The sequence below is a fragment of the Homo sapiens genome, chromosome 10 (assembly GCF_000001405.40).
Source record: "Homo sapiens chromosome 10, GRCh38.p14 Primary Assembly".
NCBI lineage: Eukaryota > Metazoa > Chordata > Mammalia > Primates > Hominidae > Homo > Homo sapiens.
The window spans coordinates 5,621,055-5,638,608 of NC_000010.11; the positions used below are offsets into that span (position 1 = coordinate 5,621,055).

Genomic DNA, 17,554 nt, shown 5'->3' on the forward strand with positions numbered 1-17,554 from the left:
ACTCCTCCACACCCCTGTTCGGGGCCGGATGGCAAGACACCAAGATGGTTAAATTTAAGAGAAGTCACAGGATGGTGGAGACAGTTTAAATAACAAGCACCTGGGGAAGCGGTTCATTGCCGGGTCCGGACGAAGCCGCGTGGGAGCCGGGGGTGCAGGGTTATGGTTGTGGGACAAATTAGTGGACTTTCTACTTCAGGCACAGTTCTCCTGGCTTTTTTTCTCCCCAGACTCAACTGTCCCTCCAGGCCTCAGCAGCAGGACAGTGGAAGGTTCGAGGTTCCGGGTGATGGAATCACCTGGCCCCCTGTAGGCAGCCCCCTTCCTCTGAGACAGCCCCCAGCCAGAACTTCCTCAGCCAGTGTGGGGGATGGAGGTAGAAAACAAAGTTTACATGGACTCCCCTCTCACCCCACAAAGAATGCTCCCAGACAAGCTAGGGTCCATTGAAAGGACAGGGCTGGCTGGGTGCGGTGGCTCACGCCTGTAACCCCAGCACTCTGGGAGGCTGAGGCAGGAGGATTACTTGATCTCAGGAGTTCAAGACCAGCCTGGACAACATGGCGAAACCCCGTCTCTCCAAAGTATACAAAAATTAGCCAGGCATGGTGGTGTGTACCTGTAGTGCCAGCTACTTGGGAGGCTGAGGCACGAGAAGTGCTTGAACCCAAGAGGCGAAGGTTGCAGTGAGCTGAGATCATGCCACTGCATTCCAGCCTAGGTGACAAAATGAGACTGTCTCAAAAACAAAAATAAAAAATGAAATGACAGGGCCAACAACACACAAAGAGAGAATCTGAGAGGAAAGGTGACTTGCCTCACGTCACCCAGCCAAGGTAATGGCCAAGCAGGTATCAGAAACTGGCCGTGCCATGAAACATGAGCTTCTGCTACCCGAAAAATAGCAGGGTTCATTCCCCTGTCAAGCAACAATGACTCTCTGTGAGAATGCAAGTTTTGATCCATGAGTTTATTACTTGGCTCCAATAAGGAGGGCACTGGGCATATTCTCAAAGCAGTGTCTCTCCAAGGGAAAGTGACAGGAGGGTATTATGGGGCAATGGAGAGGGCAGAGGGTGCATCGTCGCATGTAGAGCAGGGGTCTCTGTGGCACAGGACCCTGTCATCATGCCAGCACATGGGTTGCATGTTATGGTCCTGAAGCTGCAGCTTTTCCAGGGTAGAGACTTAGCATTGTCATGAGGAAAGTTCACTGGGATTCACGTCTAAGTTGCCAGGGTCTTTCAGGAGCTGGTTCTGACCAACAGGGTGGCCTCATTCCACCCAGGGTTGGGAAGAGTAGGCTGCAGGGCAGGAGGCTGTAACCCAGGCTGATGGCTCAACTGGATTAAATTCCTCCGGTCCCTGGATGTGGTGGCGCACACCTGTGGTCCCAGCTGTACTCAGGAGGCTGAGATGGGAGGATCACTTGAACCCAGGAGGTCAAGGCTGCAGTGAGCTGTGATCACACTACTGCACTCCAGCCTGGGCAACAGAGCTAGACCCTGTCTCAAAAAAAAAAAAAAAAATCCTATGGTGGTCCCTGGAGACCCTCCTTGTCTCCTTACACTTCAGCCCTGGTGCATTTTCTGCAGAATTAAGATCTGAGTCAGTCAAAGGGTATAACATTTTAGCTATGCAGGATGAGTAAGTTATTTGAGATCTAATGTATGGCATCATGAGTACAGTTAATAATACTGTATCCTGGGAATTTGCTAAAAGATTTTATCTTAAGTGTTCTCACCACACACACAGAAATACTGTCGCTACGTGAGCTGATGGGTTTGTTCATTAGTTTGACTGATAATCATTTCGGTCTATACATATATCAAAGCATCATGTACACCTTAAATATATACAATTTTTATTTGTTAATTATACCTCAATAAAGCTGAAAAAGTCTTTTTAAATTAATTTTAATTTTAGAAGAATTGAGAGCATAAAGTGACCTTTGAGACCTTTCGCAGGCACCCTGCGTGTTTCAGGTAAGAAGTCCGAGGCCCGGGGTGTGACACCCCCAGGCCACCAGCTCTGAACGACCTGTAATCAGGGTGGCCCAGCTCCACCCAGCCCGTGGCTCCCTGGGACTGAGTTGCCTTCAATGCCTCCAGGGCTGGGGATTACTGATGGTGGCAGGGAGCAGGGGCCTTCTAGATGACACCCTCCTGGGCCCAGGCCACAGTCAGCTTGGCGAGGCCCAAGGCTTCTCCCGCGGCTCCTCCCACGGCCCAGATGGGACGCAGGCCGATCTAGGCTGTCCCGCTCGTGCCCCCGTGTGGCCAAACGCTAAACACCAGGAGGGTGCAAATGGACCTGGGCAGCTTTTGAGCCTGCTGCACCTGTCACCCGCAGGTCAGGGCCAATGGAGTTCAGGACGTCTGCGCACCAACGACTCAGACCACAAACCTGTGCCTGAGCAGTGGCTGGCAAATATTTAGGGGTGAACCTGCAGCTCATTCATGAAAACTAAGAACATGCAGAGGACCCCGAGCTTCAAGCAGCTTAATGGTGACACTAAAAAGCTCACCTCAGCCTGGGCAACATAGGGAGACCCTGTCTCTGCAAAAAATTAAAAAATCAGCCGTGCATGGTGGTGTGTACCTGTAGTCCCAGCCCAGCTCCTCTGGAGGCTGAGGCATGAAAATTGCTTAAGCATGAGAAATCAAGGCTGCAGTGAGCCAAGATCACGCCACTGCACTCCAGCCTGGGTGACAGAGTGAGACCCTGTCTCAAAAAAGTTAAAAAGCTAACCTCAACAATCTCCCCTTTTGTTCTGATCTTCAGCAGTTACAGGATCCCAGAAGGATCACTTCCCCAAAGCAGCCCCTTTCGGCCCAGCCCCATGGCTAAATTCCCACTCATTATAAAGGGTAGGACACTCGGGGTGACTTATCCTCCAGTGTCTGGAGCCCACAATATTTTAGGGACCCAAGAAAACGTTCTTACTTCCACTCTTATTAATTAATTAATGTATTTATTTATTCTGAGACAGAGTCTCGCTCTATCGCCCAGGCTGGAGTGCACTGGCTTGATCTCAGCTCACTGCAACCTCTGCCTCCTGGGTTCAAGCGATTCTCCTGCCTCAGCCTCCCGAGTAGCTGGGACCACAGGCGCCCGCCACCACGCCCAGCTAATTTTTTTGTATTTTTTAGTAGAGACGAGGTTTCACCATGTTAGCCGGGATGGTCTCGATCTCTTGACCTCGTGATCCACCCACCTCAGCCTCCCAAAGTGTTGGGATTACAGGCGTGAGCCACCACGCCCAGCCCCCACTTCTTTTCAAGTCAAATTTTAATATAATAATAATATACAGTTATGAATCCAGCCTAGATTACATTCATATTTGTACCAACAGTCCTCAAATCGCATTTTTATTTTCTTTATAGAGAAAGAGGTCCCGGAAAGGAAAAGAGCCCCGACCAGGCCCCCTGTTCCTATGCAGCCCCAGGACTCTGTGCCTCTGAAAGCTCTCACTTATAAAGGTAAAATCCATTTCCAAAGACGAGGAGCACCGTGGGCCCATTCTCGCTTGCTTTCTCTGAGACAGCACAGATCTGAGGGGGTGTCCAGGACAGTGAAGCCATCAAAGAGCGCGTGACAGGAAGGGGGATGCTTGGCCTGGAGTGGGCAGAGGAAGACAACACGGGCTACGCGGGCGTCTCCACCTCCGCAGAAGCAGTGAGAAGAAAGGAGCAGTCAGGCACAGCTGGGTTCGTCTTCCCGGGAATGTGATCTGGAGGAAACGGTTTAACCTCCCAGACCTCCCCACATCTGTAAAGCAGAGAAGACAGCAGCACTTGCCCGATGCGGCCATCTCGAAGGCTCGCCACCCGCGGGAGGCACCGGAAACGGAACTGCCAGGACCCTTTTCTCAAGATGGCGCCCAAGGTAATGAAGGAAGCGCCTGCCCCTCCCAAAGCCCAAGCCACAGTAGGGGCTTTGAGGACCAAGGAGGCGGTGCTGAAAGGTGTCCACAGCCACAAAAAGTAGATCCGCCGTCAGCCACCCTCCGGCGGCCCAAGACGCTGCAGCTCCGGAGACAGCCCAGCTATCCTCGGAAGAGCACCCGAAGGAGCGTCCCCAACCCGAGTCCGCCATAAAGACGTTATTAGATTGGTGCAAAAGTAATCATGGTTTTTGCCATTACTTTAGATGGCAAAAACCGCAATTACTTTTGCACCAGCCTAACAGAAGACAACCACACACGTGCTTCTTATGGATGTCAAAGCTGGCAGGCGCTGGGCAAACAGGCTGGAAAGAAGCCCTCCGACATCGGTATGCCCAAGGCCCATACCCTGCTCAGGCCCGAGGTTCAATTGGCACCTGGCTAAGATGGTTTGGATGCTGCCCACAAAACCGGGTCATCTAAACTGTGTCCAGAGCTGGGCATGGTGGCTCACACCTGTAAGCCCAGCACTTTGGGAGGCCAAGGTGGGAGGGTCCCTTGGACCCAGGAGATCAAGACCAGCCTGGGCAACATAGTGAGACCTCATCTCTACAAAATTTTTAAAAATTTTTAAAAATTAGCGCAGCATGGTAGCTCACGCTTGTGGTCCCAGCTACTCAGGAGGCTGAGGTGGGAGAATCACTTGAGCCCAGGAGGTTGAGGCTACAGTGAGCCATGATCATACCACTGCACTCCAGCCTGGGTAACCGTGTGAGACCCCATCTCAAAAATTAAAAGTAATTAATTAAAAAATAAAATAAACTGCATCCAGCTGGCTAATCCTAAATATATACTTTTTCCCATGAAAAGAGTGGAGCCATCATAATAATGTGCTTTTGCTCTCATTTCCCAGGTGGACCCTGAGCCAGGCCGCATCCAGTGGGGAGCCCTGCATGGGCAGCAGGTGAAGCCCCTTGGAGATGCCCAGGGATCCAAAGGCGACATCATTGATGGCAAGGCTGCCCCTCTTGGTCTCTGGGTTTGCCACCACTCTGGCTTGGAGACAGGTGCTGCAGCCTTCCCAATGCTGGGCTCACTCTGGACTCGTCATGAAGTGCTTTCTGCCAGGGCACCCTGGTTGGAAGTTTAGAAGCCCTAAAGGACAGCTACAATTGTGGCAGCTGTGAGAGAGCAGCTGTTGTTGATCCACACACGGGCCAGAAGGTTTATTCCGAGAGGTTCTGGAAATCTGCTGGGAGGGATGACTCCCTTGTGTGGGGAACACACTCAGATAGTTGCATATTCACTCATCTACACCACACCATGAATAAAACTTAGATTCCAGATTTTAAACACTGCCAAAGGGCAACTTCCTCCCTTTACCCACTGACCTCACAACTGCCCTCAGCACACAGTCATCCCAGACCTGCTCCCACAACAGGGCTCCCTCCACTGCTGCGGCCCGGCTCAGGGTCACCCTGGGAAATGATGGTTAAAAAATAAAAATGACTGAGGTGCCCGGTTCAGCCTTCTGTGCCGAATGAGCGCAGCAGCCAGGTGCAACCGGAATGACGGATGGGAACCAACAGATGTCCCTCCCACATGGCACCAGCAGCCAGGGCCCCTGAAGGCCACTGTTCACCTTGGCCCTCATCCTGCAAACATGTTCGGAGCTCATTCTCTGAGCCAGGCTGTGTGCTGGGCATGGAGCTGCTGGGGTGAGGGCAGACAGGACCTGGCCTCTAGCCTCAAGGTCCTTGCAGTCTGGGAAACTTTACAAGCACGTGAATAAAGTATTCGAATCAAGAAAGATAGGAACTGTTATAGAATTAAAAGCAAAGTGCTTTGGGTAGAGTTACAAGCAAGGTACCTGGAAACCCAGAAAGAGAAGGATTCTTCAGTCTGGGAGGAAATTAAGGAACATTCACAAGGGTCAGAAATGAGCTGGGCCCTGAAAGATGGAAAGGAATTTCCTGCTTAACTAGAAAGCTTTCTCCACAGTCCGAAATATGTTTCACAGTGAGAAGGAGGATAGGCAGGGAACACGTTGGCGTTGTTGTGGTGTGTTGTTGCTGTTTTTTTTTTTTTTTTTTTGAGATAGAGTCTTGCTCTGTCGCCCAGGCTGGAGTGCAGTGGCATGATCTCGGCTCACTGCAAGCTCTGCCTCCAGGGCTCACGCCATTCTCCTGCCTCAGCCTCCCAAGTAGCTGGGATTACAGGCGCCCGCCACCACGCTGGGCTAATTTTTTTGTATTTTTAGTACAGACAGGGTTTCACCGTGTTAGCCAGGATGGTCTCGATCTCCTGACCTCGTGATCCGCCTGCCTCGGCCTCCCAAAGTGCTGGGATTACAGGCGTGAGCCACCGCGCCCGGCCTGTTGTTGTTTTAAGCCAGCAATACACCTCACCACATTAGTGTGGATGTCTGGAGAAAGTGTTGAGACTACATTGGCATCTAAAAATTCCAGTTGTGTCGAACGTAGCGGCTCACGCCTATAATCGCAGCAATCTAGGAGGCCAAGGTGAAAGGATTTCTTGAGCCCAGGAGATCAAGACCAGCCTGGGAAACATGGCGAGATCCCATCTCTACAAAACATTTTTAAAAATAGCCAGGCATGGTGGTGCACACCTGTGGTCCCAGTTTTTCATGAAGCTGAGGCAGGAGGATCACTTGGACCCAGGAGTTCAAGGCTGCTATGAACTGTGATTGCGCCACTGAACTCCAGCCTGGGTGACAGAGTCAGACCCTATTTCAAATAAATAAATAAAAATTCCAGTTGCTAAAGCCACAAATATCCAGAACCCACACACTGACCTGTGCCTTCCAGGACTGCAGGTGGGGTGGGTACTGTCTCACTGGTTACTATAACGGAGTACCACAGTCTGGATGGCTTAAACGGCAGACATTTATTTTCTCACGGTCCTGGAAGCTGGAAGTCCAAGGTCAAAGTGCTGGTGTGGTTGGGTTCTGGTGAGGGCTGTTGTCCTGGCGTGCAGACAGCCACTTTCTCACTGTGTCCTCCCGTAGCTTTTTCTGTCTGAGACAGAGATCTCTGGTGTCTTTTTCCTTTTGTTATAAGAACACCAGTTTTTTTGAAGAGAACAGTCCCACCTTTATGATTTCCTTTAACCTTACTCACCCCCTTAAAGGCCCTACCTCCAAATATAATCACATTGGAAGTTAGGGCTTCAAAATATGAATTTGGAGGAGGCCTAATTAAGTCTGTAGCAGGCATTCCCAGCAATGCATCAAAAAACAAAAACAACAAAAAAAAAACACGGAAGGTTGGAAAGAGAATGCAGTGAGGAAAGGGTCGGAAAGGGAGGGGCTGTGGCCAGGACGGGTGTCAGAGAGAACTGCCAAAGAGATTCGAAAACCAGGGACCCAGATCATCCTCCGGGCCACTCCCAAATCAAGGGAAGAGGCTGGACGGGTCCAGGGTCGTCTCCTTCTTTTCTGTGTCAGATCTCCTTGATTCTACACTAACTCCAGGCATCTTTCTTCCTGTCCTATCCAGTCCTCACCATAGACTCATTCTGGAAAGCGGGGAGGGATGGCAGGAGAGGGAGCAGAAAGAGAAACTATTACGCTGTAGGTCCCGGAGAACACTGCTCTCCCTGGGTCTGGGAGCTTAGGGACTTTCTGCCACACCCCACGCCTCACAAGACTGAAAGAGTTTCATCAGGGTCTGAGCTCTGGGATTTGGAAACACTCATGGAAAACAGAGCAGAGCCTGAGTTTTGCGGAGAATCCCTGCCTTCTCCTAAAATACTCCTGGAGGAGGCAGCATCAGAATGCATGCTTGAGACGCACCACAGGATCTGCTTCCCCAAATCCTCAAACACACAGGACAGATGCCTCCTGGTCCCCATCATAACCCATCAATCACGCCCCAAAGCCGCCTGAGCCCTCACCTCCCGACTCTCCGAAAGCTGCCAACAATTACTGCTGAGCCAGCAATGCATAATAGTCTCCTTTCTGCCTTCCCGTCTCTTTCTGTCTTTTGTTCCCTGCCTGGAAATCTATATAGCATGAAAGGAGCTGTTGAGGTGTGTGTGGTTTTTTTTTTACCAAGAATCGGAAAATTTGAGTCATCTTTTTACAAAGTTAGACTGCGAAGGTTGTAGTCCTCTCTAAGGATTTAATAATGAAGTGAAGAGACCAGAGGTGACCAGAAACAAGTATGAGAGGAAACGAGAAGCCGTTATTCATGGATTTCCTGCAGTGTGCTCAGCACAGTACTACTCTAGGAGTTGGAGGATTTTTTTTTAAAGTGGTGGTGCTAGGGGCTGAGTGGTGCTACTTACTGTCTATTCTTCTGTTCTTCCTCAGTAAGAGAAACCTTATATTGCTTGGGATGGCACTGTGCCCAAAGTAAAACAAACACATCAAAAAAAAATACACAAGGCTTGCTTGGCTGGCAGACACTCCTTTTGCCAAGCTCTTTCCATTTTCTTCCTGCCTGGAAGATAGACATGATGACCAGAGCTGTAGCAGCCATCTTGGGACCATGAGGGTCCCATGGTCAAAAGATCAAAAAAACTGCAAAAGCTTTGGCTGTGGTATACATGAGGGCTGTCAAACTACAGCCCATGAGTCAAATCTGGCCCACTACTTGTTTTAGTAAATAGTTTTGTTGGAACACAGTCATGCTCATTTATTTGTCTGGAGCTAATTTTGCCCTGTCTATGACAAAGGGGAGTGGTTGTAACCGAGACCACTTGGCCCACAATGCTAAAAATATTGACTATCAGAAAAAAAAAATTATAAACCTCTGCTCTAAACCACAGGCAGTAACTGCCTATCTCCAGACTTATTATGTAAAAAAAAAAAAAAAAAAAAAAAAAAAAAAAAATCCTCTTGTGTTTGACATGAGGTTTCTTGTGTTTAACATAACGTTTCTGTTACTCACAGACTAATAGATATAATACTGTTTACACTCGAGGCACTCAGAGTTTACACAGCTGTGGAAGCAGAACATGGCAACGTTTAGAAAATTAAGAAAAAAGACACATTCCAAATCATCGCCAACCAGCAGAACATAGCCCTACACAACCCCAAGCAGCAATATTCACGGCGTCCTCTAGGTGGAGCTCTGCAGTGCACAGCCTGGGCAGCTGGAGGCAGCAGCCCTGTATCTCTGGCTTCATCCTGCAGCCAATTAATTCAACCAGTATATGGGGATTATCTCTGTGTCAGACACTGTGGAAAGTGAATACAACATGGCCCCTGGTCTTTAGAAGCTTATAGGATAAAAGAAATATACCAAGTAGCCGTATGGTATGGACTAACTTGTGTCCCTCACCCAAATTCATATGTGGACGCCCTACCCCTCAATGTGACTGTATTTGGAGTTGGGGCCTTCGAGGGTGTAATTAAGGTTACATGAGGTCATAAGACTGAGGCCCTAAACCAAATAGGTCTGGTTCCTTATAAGAAGAGGAAGAGACACCCAGGATGCGCACACGCGGAGGAGAGACCGCGTGAAGACACCATGAGAAAGAAGGTGGTTTGTACATCAAGGAGAGAGGCCTCAGGGGAAACCAAACCTGCTGACAGTTTGATCTTGGATTTCCAGCCTCTAGAACTTGGGGAAAATGTATTTCTATTGTTTAAGGCCCCCAATCTGTGGTCTTTTGTTATGGCAGCCATAGCCAAGTAACACACAATTTAAATAGACCACATGGTGGCTCGAGGTCAGTGCTCCAGAGATTCAAATGTCACATAGCAAATAGCATCATTCCAAGGCCTGGAGGATAAAGACATGACAGCCCCTGTGTCCGCTGAGACAACCAACCATTGCTGCTCCACACACCTTCAGCAAGCACTGCTCAGGCTGGGGCACCTGATGCTGAGATCTCCCTTGATAGGTGTTCTATTTGAAGAGAAAAGATTGTGTCCCAGCTATTGAACGCCCACCCAGGCTTCATCCACCTGGGCACCCAGTCCGGTCCAGTCCATCTCTGCACTGGCAGGCACGGCCTGGCTTTCACATTCCTCTCTCACCGCCTCTCCCAACTCCATATCTGGCCTCCAGCTCTGCCAGCTGCCTGTTTACACCACACGCCACAATCTGATCAATTTTCCAGAACATGTGTGTTTCGGTTCATATCATTCCTTGACTGGAGATACAGAGCTCAGATTCCCTTTCTCCATGATGCATTTTTTAAAAACAACGAATTCTCAAGCACTGTTTTCCTCTTGTGTGGCATTCACTCCATTCTGGCTTCTGTTGAGACGATGTTGATAAAGCTGATGCATCTTTTATCCTCTCCTAAATGGGAGGGTCTTAAAGGGAAGCCAAGATCTTTGCATTTCCCTTCCCGAGACTCAGTTCAGAGCCATGTATTAGACATTCAACACGTGCCCATTAAATAATAGATCAATGATAGATCAATAGATGGATGATAGCTCAAGAGACAGATATATTGATTGATTGATGATAGATATATAAACAGATGATCAATGATAGATCAATAGATAATAAACAGATAAATAGATGATTGATGGACAGATAGATAGCCAGTGGCTGACACCTGTAATACCAGCTACTCAGGAGGCTGAGGCAGGAGGATTGCTTGAGTCCAGAAGTTCCAAGCTGTGGTACACTACACAGATCAGGGGTCCACACTAAGTTTGGCATCCATATGGTGACCTCGCAGGATCAAGGGACTGCCAGGTTGCCTAGGGAGGGGTGAACCAGCCCAGATTGGAAATGGAGCAAGTCTAAACACCCATAATGATCAGTAGCGGGATCACTCCCGTGAATAGCCACTGCACTCCAGCCTGGGCAAGATAGTGAGGCCCTGTCTCTAAAAAAAAATTGAAAGATGATAGATAATAGATAATCAATGGATGGATAGATAAATGAATAGATAGATGACTGATGGATGGATAGGTAGATAGAGGGATAATAGATGATAGAGAGAAGGAATAGATGATGATAGATGAGAGAGAAAGAGAGGTAATATTAAAGCCATCATTTCTGGCCTTGCAGGGAACACTCTCTCAGCCGTGTTTCCTGACTGCACTGGGGAGGATTTGGGTCCAAGCTCCTCCTGTAATTTCCTGAGGTCCTGTGAAATGATCCTGCCCTAGGCAGCTGCGTTCCCAGAGGAGTGTCCACCTGGGAGCACGCCACAAGCCCAGAGGAACATTCTGATTTCCTAATGGAACCAGATGTCCCAGTTTGGGCAAAAGGGCCTCCCGGGAAAACAGAGTACTGCCAAGGACTCAGTCTGGCATGTCCCCAGAGGGAGAGAAACTGTCCCCACCCACCACTTACTTGGATGGAATTGCTCCCCGGCATGCAGAGGTATCACTGTGTGAGGTCAGCAACGATGCGTGGAGGCCTGTCTCGAGGCGACCTTCTGGTGGGGAGGACATTCTCTCCGGTTGTATTTTCATTCCACTCAGTGTTTCCGTGCAGAGTGGAGTGAGCGCCCCTCCTTGACCTCATGAAGCTGCTCAAGGGCAAAACTCTACCTGGGACTCGATTTGCTTAGAAACAAAATACGCAAAGGAAACACCAATTCAAGGTAGCCTGTTATTCACGGCCAAGAGAGAGACTTCTCTGACACTTTGGATCTTTCCCTCCATCAATCATTTACTTCAGTGCTTGGAATGTCAGGAGGAAAATAATGAGTCACACCTGGTCTGAGGCAACCAAGTCACTTGTCAGCACAGAGTGCCTGCAATCACAGCACTCGGTGACCAAGGCCCAGATGCTTGGCTGCAGCTGGAGGCATAACAAGAGGTGCCAGAGAGAAAGACCAGTGAGATACTTTACAGCCAAGATCTGCAAAGCACACATCCAGGGACTCCAGCTTAGGAAGCCTGGCTGTGAATGTTTGTTGAATGCAAAGGAACACATCGTTGTAGGCTGGCCTGGGAGCCCAACACAAAATAAGAATCAGTGCCCAGCTGGGCTTTCAGTTTACTTGTTATTAGAAATATTATTGGGCTTTATCAAGTCTTGACAACTCTATTGCCCTGTTTGAAAGTGACACAGAATTAATCCATGGGCTGTCAGATCATCTGAGGAACGGCCTTATAGACCAGGCCAGTTTTAGATTCAGCCTGCTGGATGTGGGAGCCACATGTGGTGGGACAAGCACAGGTTGGGGGCTGGATGTGGGAACTCAGTAGCACCCAGCCTCTTGAGTAATACTGCTCTCATCAATGCTGTATTTAACCAAAACTGCACCTAAATCGTATCTTACCTATATTTCTTGAATACAAGTTTATACTCCATGCTATTTTAGAAGCAGCAAGGGACCCCTCTGACACCAAAGAAGAAGGAAAAAAATCTAACAATTAGACTCTTTGAAGTCAGCTTGTGATGGATTTTTTTTCCTATGGCTCAGTCAAGTTTTATAAATGACCTATTTCTGTTCTGCCGCCCACAGATTCCTAGAGGCTCGTAGGCAAAATCCCACGCTCTCCGGATGGCCAAATCTTGCCTTTTATGATCAAAGTCTCTCCCAGGTCTTTGAAAATCATAAGCATAAGAAGGATTACAGTAAGCCCTGTTATACATGTAAAATTCCATGGAATTAAGTCTCACTCTCTTCTTCGTGCCTGGTAGAAAAAGTATGAAGGAAAAGAAAAGTCACTTCAACAAATCTTCTGTTTCTTCATCCTCATCCCAGAAGAGTGCTGCCATTAATCAAAGTCGTTATAAAGCTTTGTAAACCACAGAGCACCATGGGAATCAAAATGAAGTTGTTCTTTATGCTATGTAATTGACTTTATTAATCCAAGACTTTAGAAGGTCAGCAGTCATCCCTCTTCTGTCTTCTCCAGTGTCCTTGGCAGAGTTAAGAGTCAAGTTTGCTCATGCCTTGTCCTGGTCTGCTGAGGCTGCTAAAACAAATTCTATATGGCTGGGCACAGTGGCTCATGCCTGTAATCTCAACACTTCAGGAGGCTGAGGAGGGAGGAATCCTTGAGCCTAAGACCAGCCTGGGCAACATAATGAGAACTTGTCTCTACAAAAGTTAAAAAATTAGACAGATGTGGTGGCACACGTCTGTAGCCTCAGCTACTCAGGAGGCTGACGTGGGAGGATCACTTCAGCCTAGGAGATTGAGATCATGCCACTGCACTCCAGCCTGCGCAACAGAGCAAGACCCCGGCTCAAATAAAAGCAAACAAAACCTAAACACTGGTGGTTTTTAAACAACAGAAATCTATTTCTCAAAGTTCTAGAGGCTGAGAAGTCCAGGATCCCTGCCTGGTGATGACTGCTCTCTTCTCCATAGACAGCGACTTCTTTCTGTGTCCTCATCTGCCTGAAGGGGCAAGGCAGCTCTCTGGCACCTATTTTTATTTTTGACACAGAGTTTCACTCTTATTGTGCAGGCTGGAGTGCAGTGGCACGATCTCGGCTTACTACAACCTCTGCCTCCCAGCTTCAAGCGATTTTCCTGCCTCAGTCTCCCAAGTAGCTGGGATTACAGGCGCCCGCCACCATGCTTGGCTAATTGTGTATTTTTACTACAGACGGAGTCTCACCATATTGGTCAGGCTGGTCTCAAACTCCTGACATCAAGTGATCAGCCCACCCTGGCCTCCCAAAGTGCTGGGATTACAGGTGTGAGCCAGTGCACCAGGCCTGGCACCTCTTTTCTAAGGGCACTGGTCCCTTTCAAGAGAGCTCTGCCCTCATAGCTAATCAGCACCCAGAGGCTCCACATCCTAATACCATCACTGTGGGGGTGGGGATTTGAACACAGGAATCTGGGGAGAGACAGACATTCAGACCACAGCATCCCCCAGCTCACCACATGATGAGGTGCAACATCTGTTCCTATACCTGCTCCCTGAAAAACAGACTCTGAGATGCTCGGGGCCAAGATTTGCTTTTATGTGTTCTCATATCATTAGTGCCCAGCAGAGAACTTAAAATAGAACAACTGGTAAAAAAAGGAAAGAAGAAGATGGGTGGGCTTGGATGGGGAAGATGGGGAAGAGGACCAAGGAGCAAGAGGATGTCCCTGCTTCTCCTCTGGTCTTACCCTCTGTCCCCAGCACAGTGGAACAAGCTTCGGGATTTGGATTCACACCAAGAACGGAGGGACTTTTCTTTGTTGATCACTCAGAGTGCAGATGGTGAAGCTAAGTGCACATCCTGGCTCAGCGTCCAGTGGCAGATTCTCCCCAGCCATGAAGTCCGTGTGCACAACAACCGCACACCTGGAGGCCAGATGCTAGAGTGAAATTGTATTTGAACGAATAAATGTGTACACAGGTGCGTGAGAGAGAGAGAGACAGAGACAGGCAGAGAGGCCTATCATCCATCTTTTCTGCCTTTTTTCATGGTTTGGAGAAAAAGGAGGCACTCTTTAGATTGGACCAATTTAAGACATCTTTTCATTCAACTTGTCGGAGATCACAAGACCTTCAAGCCAAAATCACTGAGGCCTCGCTGTCACTGTCATGTGGTGCTAATGTGGAGAAAAGAGAAAAGGCAAAGACTCCAGGGTCTGGAAATATTTTCTCAGCCATTACAGGGGGCACAGCCCCTGCCAGGGCCCTGTGCGCCCCACCTTCATCTCTCCACGGCACAGCTGCTCGAAAGATGAGCAAGCTGTCCAGCTTTGTTCTCAGAGCCAGTCTTACGCTCGTTTTTCCGAATAAAGGAACTCAACTGCCTAGAAGAAACAGGTGTTGCCCACTGGAGAGAAAGCACAAGCAGTTTAACAAAGTGGCCCAGGGCATGAAATGGACAGGGAAAGGCATTCTTTTCATCCCAAATGACTTCAGAGCTCTCTGCAGACTCACCTGGTAGCACAGATGGGATACCACAGGGAGCATTGCTATGGTCCAGGAGTAGACGAGATTCCACTCCCTCCCTGGAAGACCACGGGGAGCCCAGAGCTGAGCAAGAGATCCCACTGGGGATCCCACTGGGGTCTCTTGCTGTCTCCCTCACGACGCCTCCCACCTGCAGAAGGTGGGCAGCACCCCGCCTCCACGGGCTGGGGACAGAGGGTGCAGCTGCATTTTCTTACTGTGAAATGGCCCCTCAATTATGACCTCTCCAAAGGGGAGGGTTTGATACCAGGGACTTTGCCCAGAGCCAGACCTAGAAGACGCACCATTGTCCAGGGAGGGAGCCATACCAGCGCAGCGAGGCCAATCAGTGAGAGGCATTTTACCCAGCACTTTCCTACAGAGGAGATGAGGGTCGGCTCTGTGAGACAAACCTCAGGACACAGGGCTTTGCATACCTAGTTTGTCTGAGAGTAGTTCCAAAAAAAGTGTCAACACCCACTGTGGAATACAAGCTCCTATAACCAAAACCATGCCGTTGTGGCCAACAGGAATCTGAAAGGTGTTTGTAAGCACAACCGAGTTTCTAATTTTTTGGTTTTTTTGCCCTTCGTTGTTCCTCTATGCATTCAATTTTTATTATGAAAAAATCAAACATCAAAACACATGGAGAGTAACCCCATGTTTCTATTTGCCCCCCAACATGAGCAAATAGTAGCATTCTATCATGTGCTTCGTATCTTTTTTTTTTTTTTTTTTTTTTTAGAGATAGGGTCTCACTATGTTGCCGAGGCTGGTCTCGAACTTCTGAGCTCAAGCAATCCTCCCGCCTCAGCCTCCCAAAGTGCTGGGATTACAGGCGTGAGCCACTCTTCCTGGCCAACATCACTTTTTAAGAAATGCAATACAACAGAGGTGAAGTTCCCTGCGTTCCTATCCCCAAGCCACTGGTATCCCCATGATGCCAGTGTGTGGTTTCCATGATTTTATGTATTTACTGCATACGTATGAATTATTAGATGGGCTTTTTAAAAAAATTATACAAATTGACTCATACCATACACAGAAAAGTCTGGCAATTGTTTGATCGACCACTATATTTTTGAGATCTATTCGTGTTAAAACGTGTAGTTCTAATCCATCTTAACTTTTATCGAGTGTAGGTATGACATGTAAGATGTATATGATATTCTACATCTTACTCCCAACTGGTGGGGTTTTCACTATTACAGGTATCGCTGCAGTAAACAACCTCATACATGTCTCCTTGTGATATTGCCTGAGAGTTTCTTTAGGGTATTATTTATATAAAGTAGAATTACTGGGGACAAGGGGTATGCACATTTTTCATTGCATTAATATCAGCCAATAGCTCTCCAAAACAGACCTATCATCAATGTATTCCCCACTAGCAGCCTGTGCATTTCCATTTGCCCACATGGCCCACCCATCCACACTGTGAAACTCAGACCTTTCAATGACTGTCTCAATGGCGACATTCAATGGTAATCACTTTGTTGAATTAAATATTAATTTGAATTTCCCTGATCACTTCTCAGCATCCTTTCCTGGGAGTGGACATTTCAAGATCCCTCTTTTATAAAGCCCTGTTCTTATTCTTTGCCCAGTTTTTTTCTATTGGGTTGTTTATCTTTTCTTTTTTGTAGAAATGGGGTCTCTTTAGGCTGCCCAAGCTTGTCTCAAACTCCTAAGCTCAATCCTCCAGCCTCAGCCTCCCAAAGTGCTGGGATGACAGGCATAAGCCACAGCACCTGGCCCATTTTAATGATCTATCATAAGATCTTTATATATTTTGCTTGCCAATTACTTGTTATATATGTTGCAAACATCTGCTCCAAATCTGTCCACTGCACACTGCATTTGAAAATGTAAACTGAGAAGTCTTATGACTGCAGGACTCCTGAAATAGATGGTATGATCTTAAGGCGGGAATAGTTCACACAGCTGCAAGATCTACAAACATCAACAAAACCACACAACAGTCAATGTAACTTTCATATTTGGGGACCACTTTAGGCTTTTCAAGGCATCTTTTTTTTTTCTTTTTTGTGGGGACAGAGTCTCACTCTGTCTCCCAGGCTGGAGTGCAGTGGCACGATCTTGGCTCACTGCAACCTCCGTTTCCAAGTTCAAGCGATTCTCCTGCTTCGGCCTGCTGACTAGCTGGGATTACAACCATACACCACCACAGCTGGCTTATTTTTGTATTTTCAGTAGAGACAGGGTTTCAACATCTTGGCCAGGCTAGTCTCAAACTCCTGGCCCAAGTGATCTGCCCACCTTGGCTCCCCAAAGTGCTAGGATTATAGACATAAGCCACCCCACCCAGCCAAGGCATCTTTCAATCATTTAATTTCAGCCTCATAAAAACCTGAGGCGGCCGGGCGCAGTGGCTCACACCTGTAAACCCAGCACTTTGGGAGGCCGAGGCAGGAGGATCACGAGGTCAGGAGATCGAGACCATCCTTGCTAACATGGTGAAGCCTCGTCTGTACTAAAAATACCAAAAAAAAAAATTAGCCGGGTGTGGTGGCGGGTGCCTGTAGTCCTAGCTACTCAGGAGGCTGAGGCAGGAGAATGGCGTGAACCCAGGAGACGGAGCTTGCAGTGAGCCGAGATCGTGCCACTGCACTACAGCCTGGGCGACAGAGCGAGACTCCACCTCAAAAAAAAAAAAAAAAAACACAAAACCTGACGCTGGGGACCCAATCTCGTCCACCTGAGGTGACGGGCTTGGCTCAGTGGTTGGTCATCAAGACCCCTTCAATGCTCCAAGTCTGATCCATTATCTCGGTTTTGCAGCTTTCCGGAACAACTCAGAGTAGAGAAGCAGATAAACCTGTGTGCAGTCACAGCCCTGCATAAGGGCA

At 48.3% G+C, this 17,554-nt stretch overlaps 1 long non-coding RNA gene and 1 pseudogene across 1 annotated transcript; one reads left to right on the top strand and one right to left on the bottom strand.

The window, feature by feature from the left end:
* Positions 1-3,342: 3,342 nt before the first annotated feature.
* On the bottom strand, positions 3,343-11,971 carry LOC107984199 (uncharacterized). Its single transcript, XR_001747344.2, has 2 exons — positions 11,173-11,971; positions 3,343-3,771 (listed from the first exon to the last, which is right to left on the bottom strand). It is a non-coding gene; the product is annotated as an uncharacterized LOC107984199 (long non-coding RNA).
* RN7SL445P (RNA, 7SL, cytoplasmic 445, pseudogene) lies at positions 10,423-10,701 on the top strand (annotated as a pseudogene).
* Positions 11,972-17,554: the final 5,583 nt, after the last annotated feature.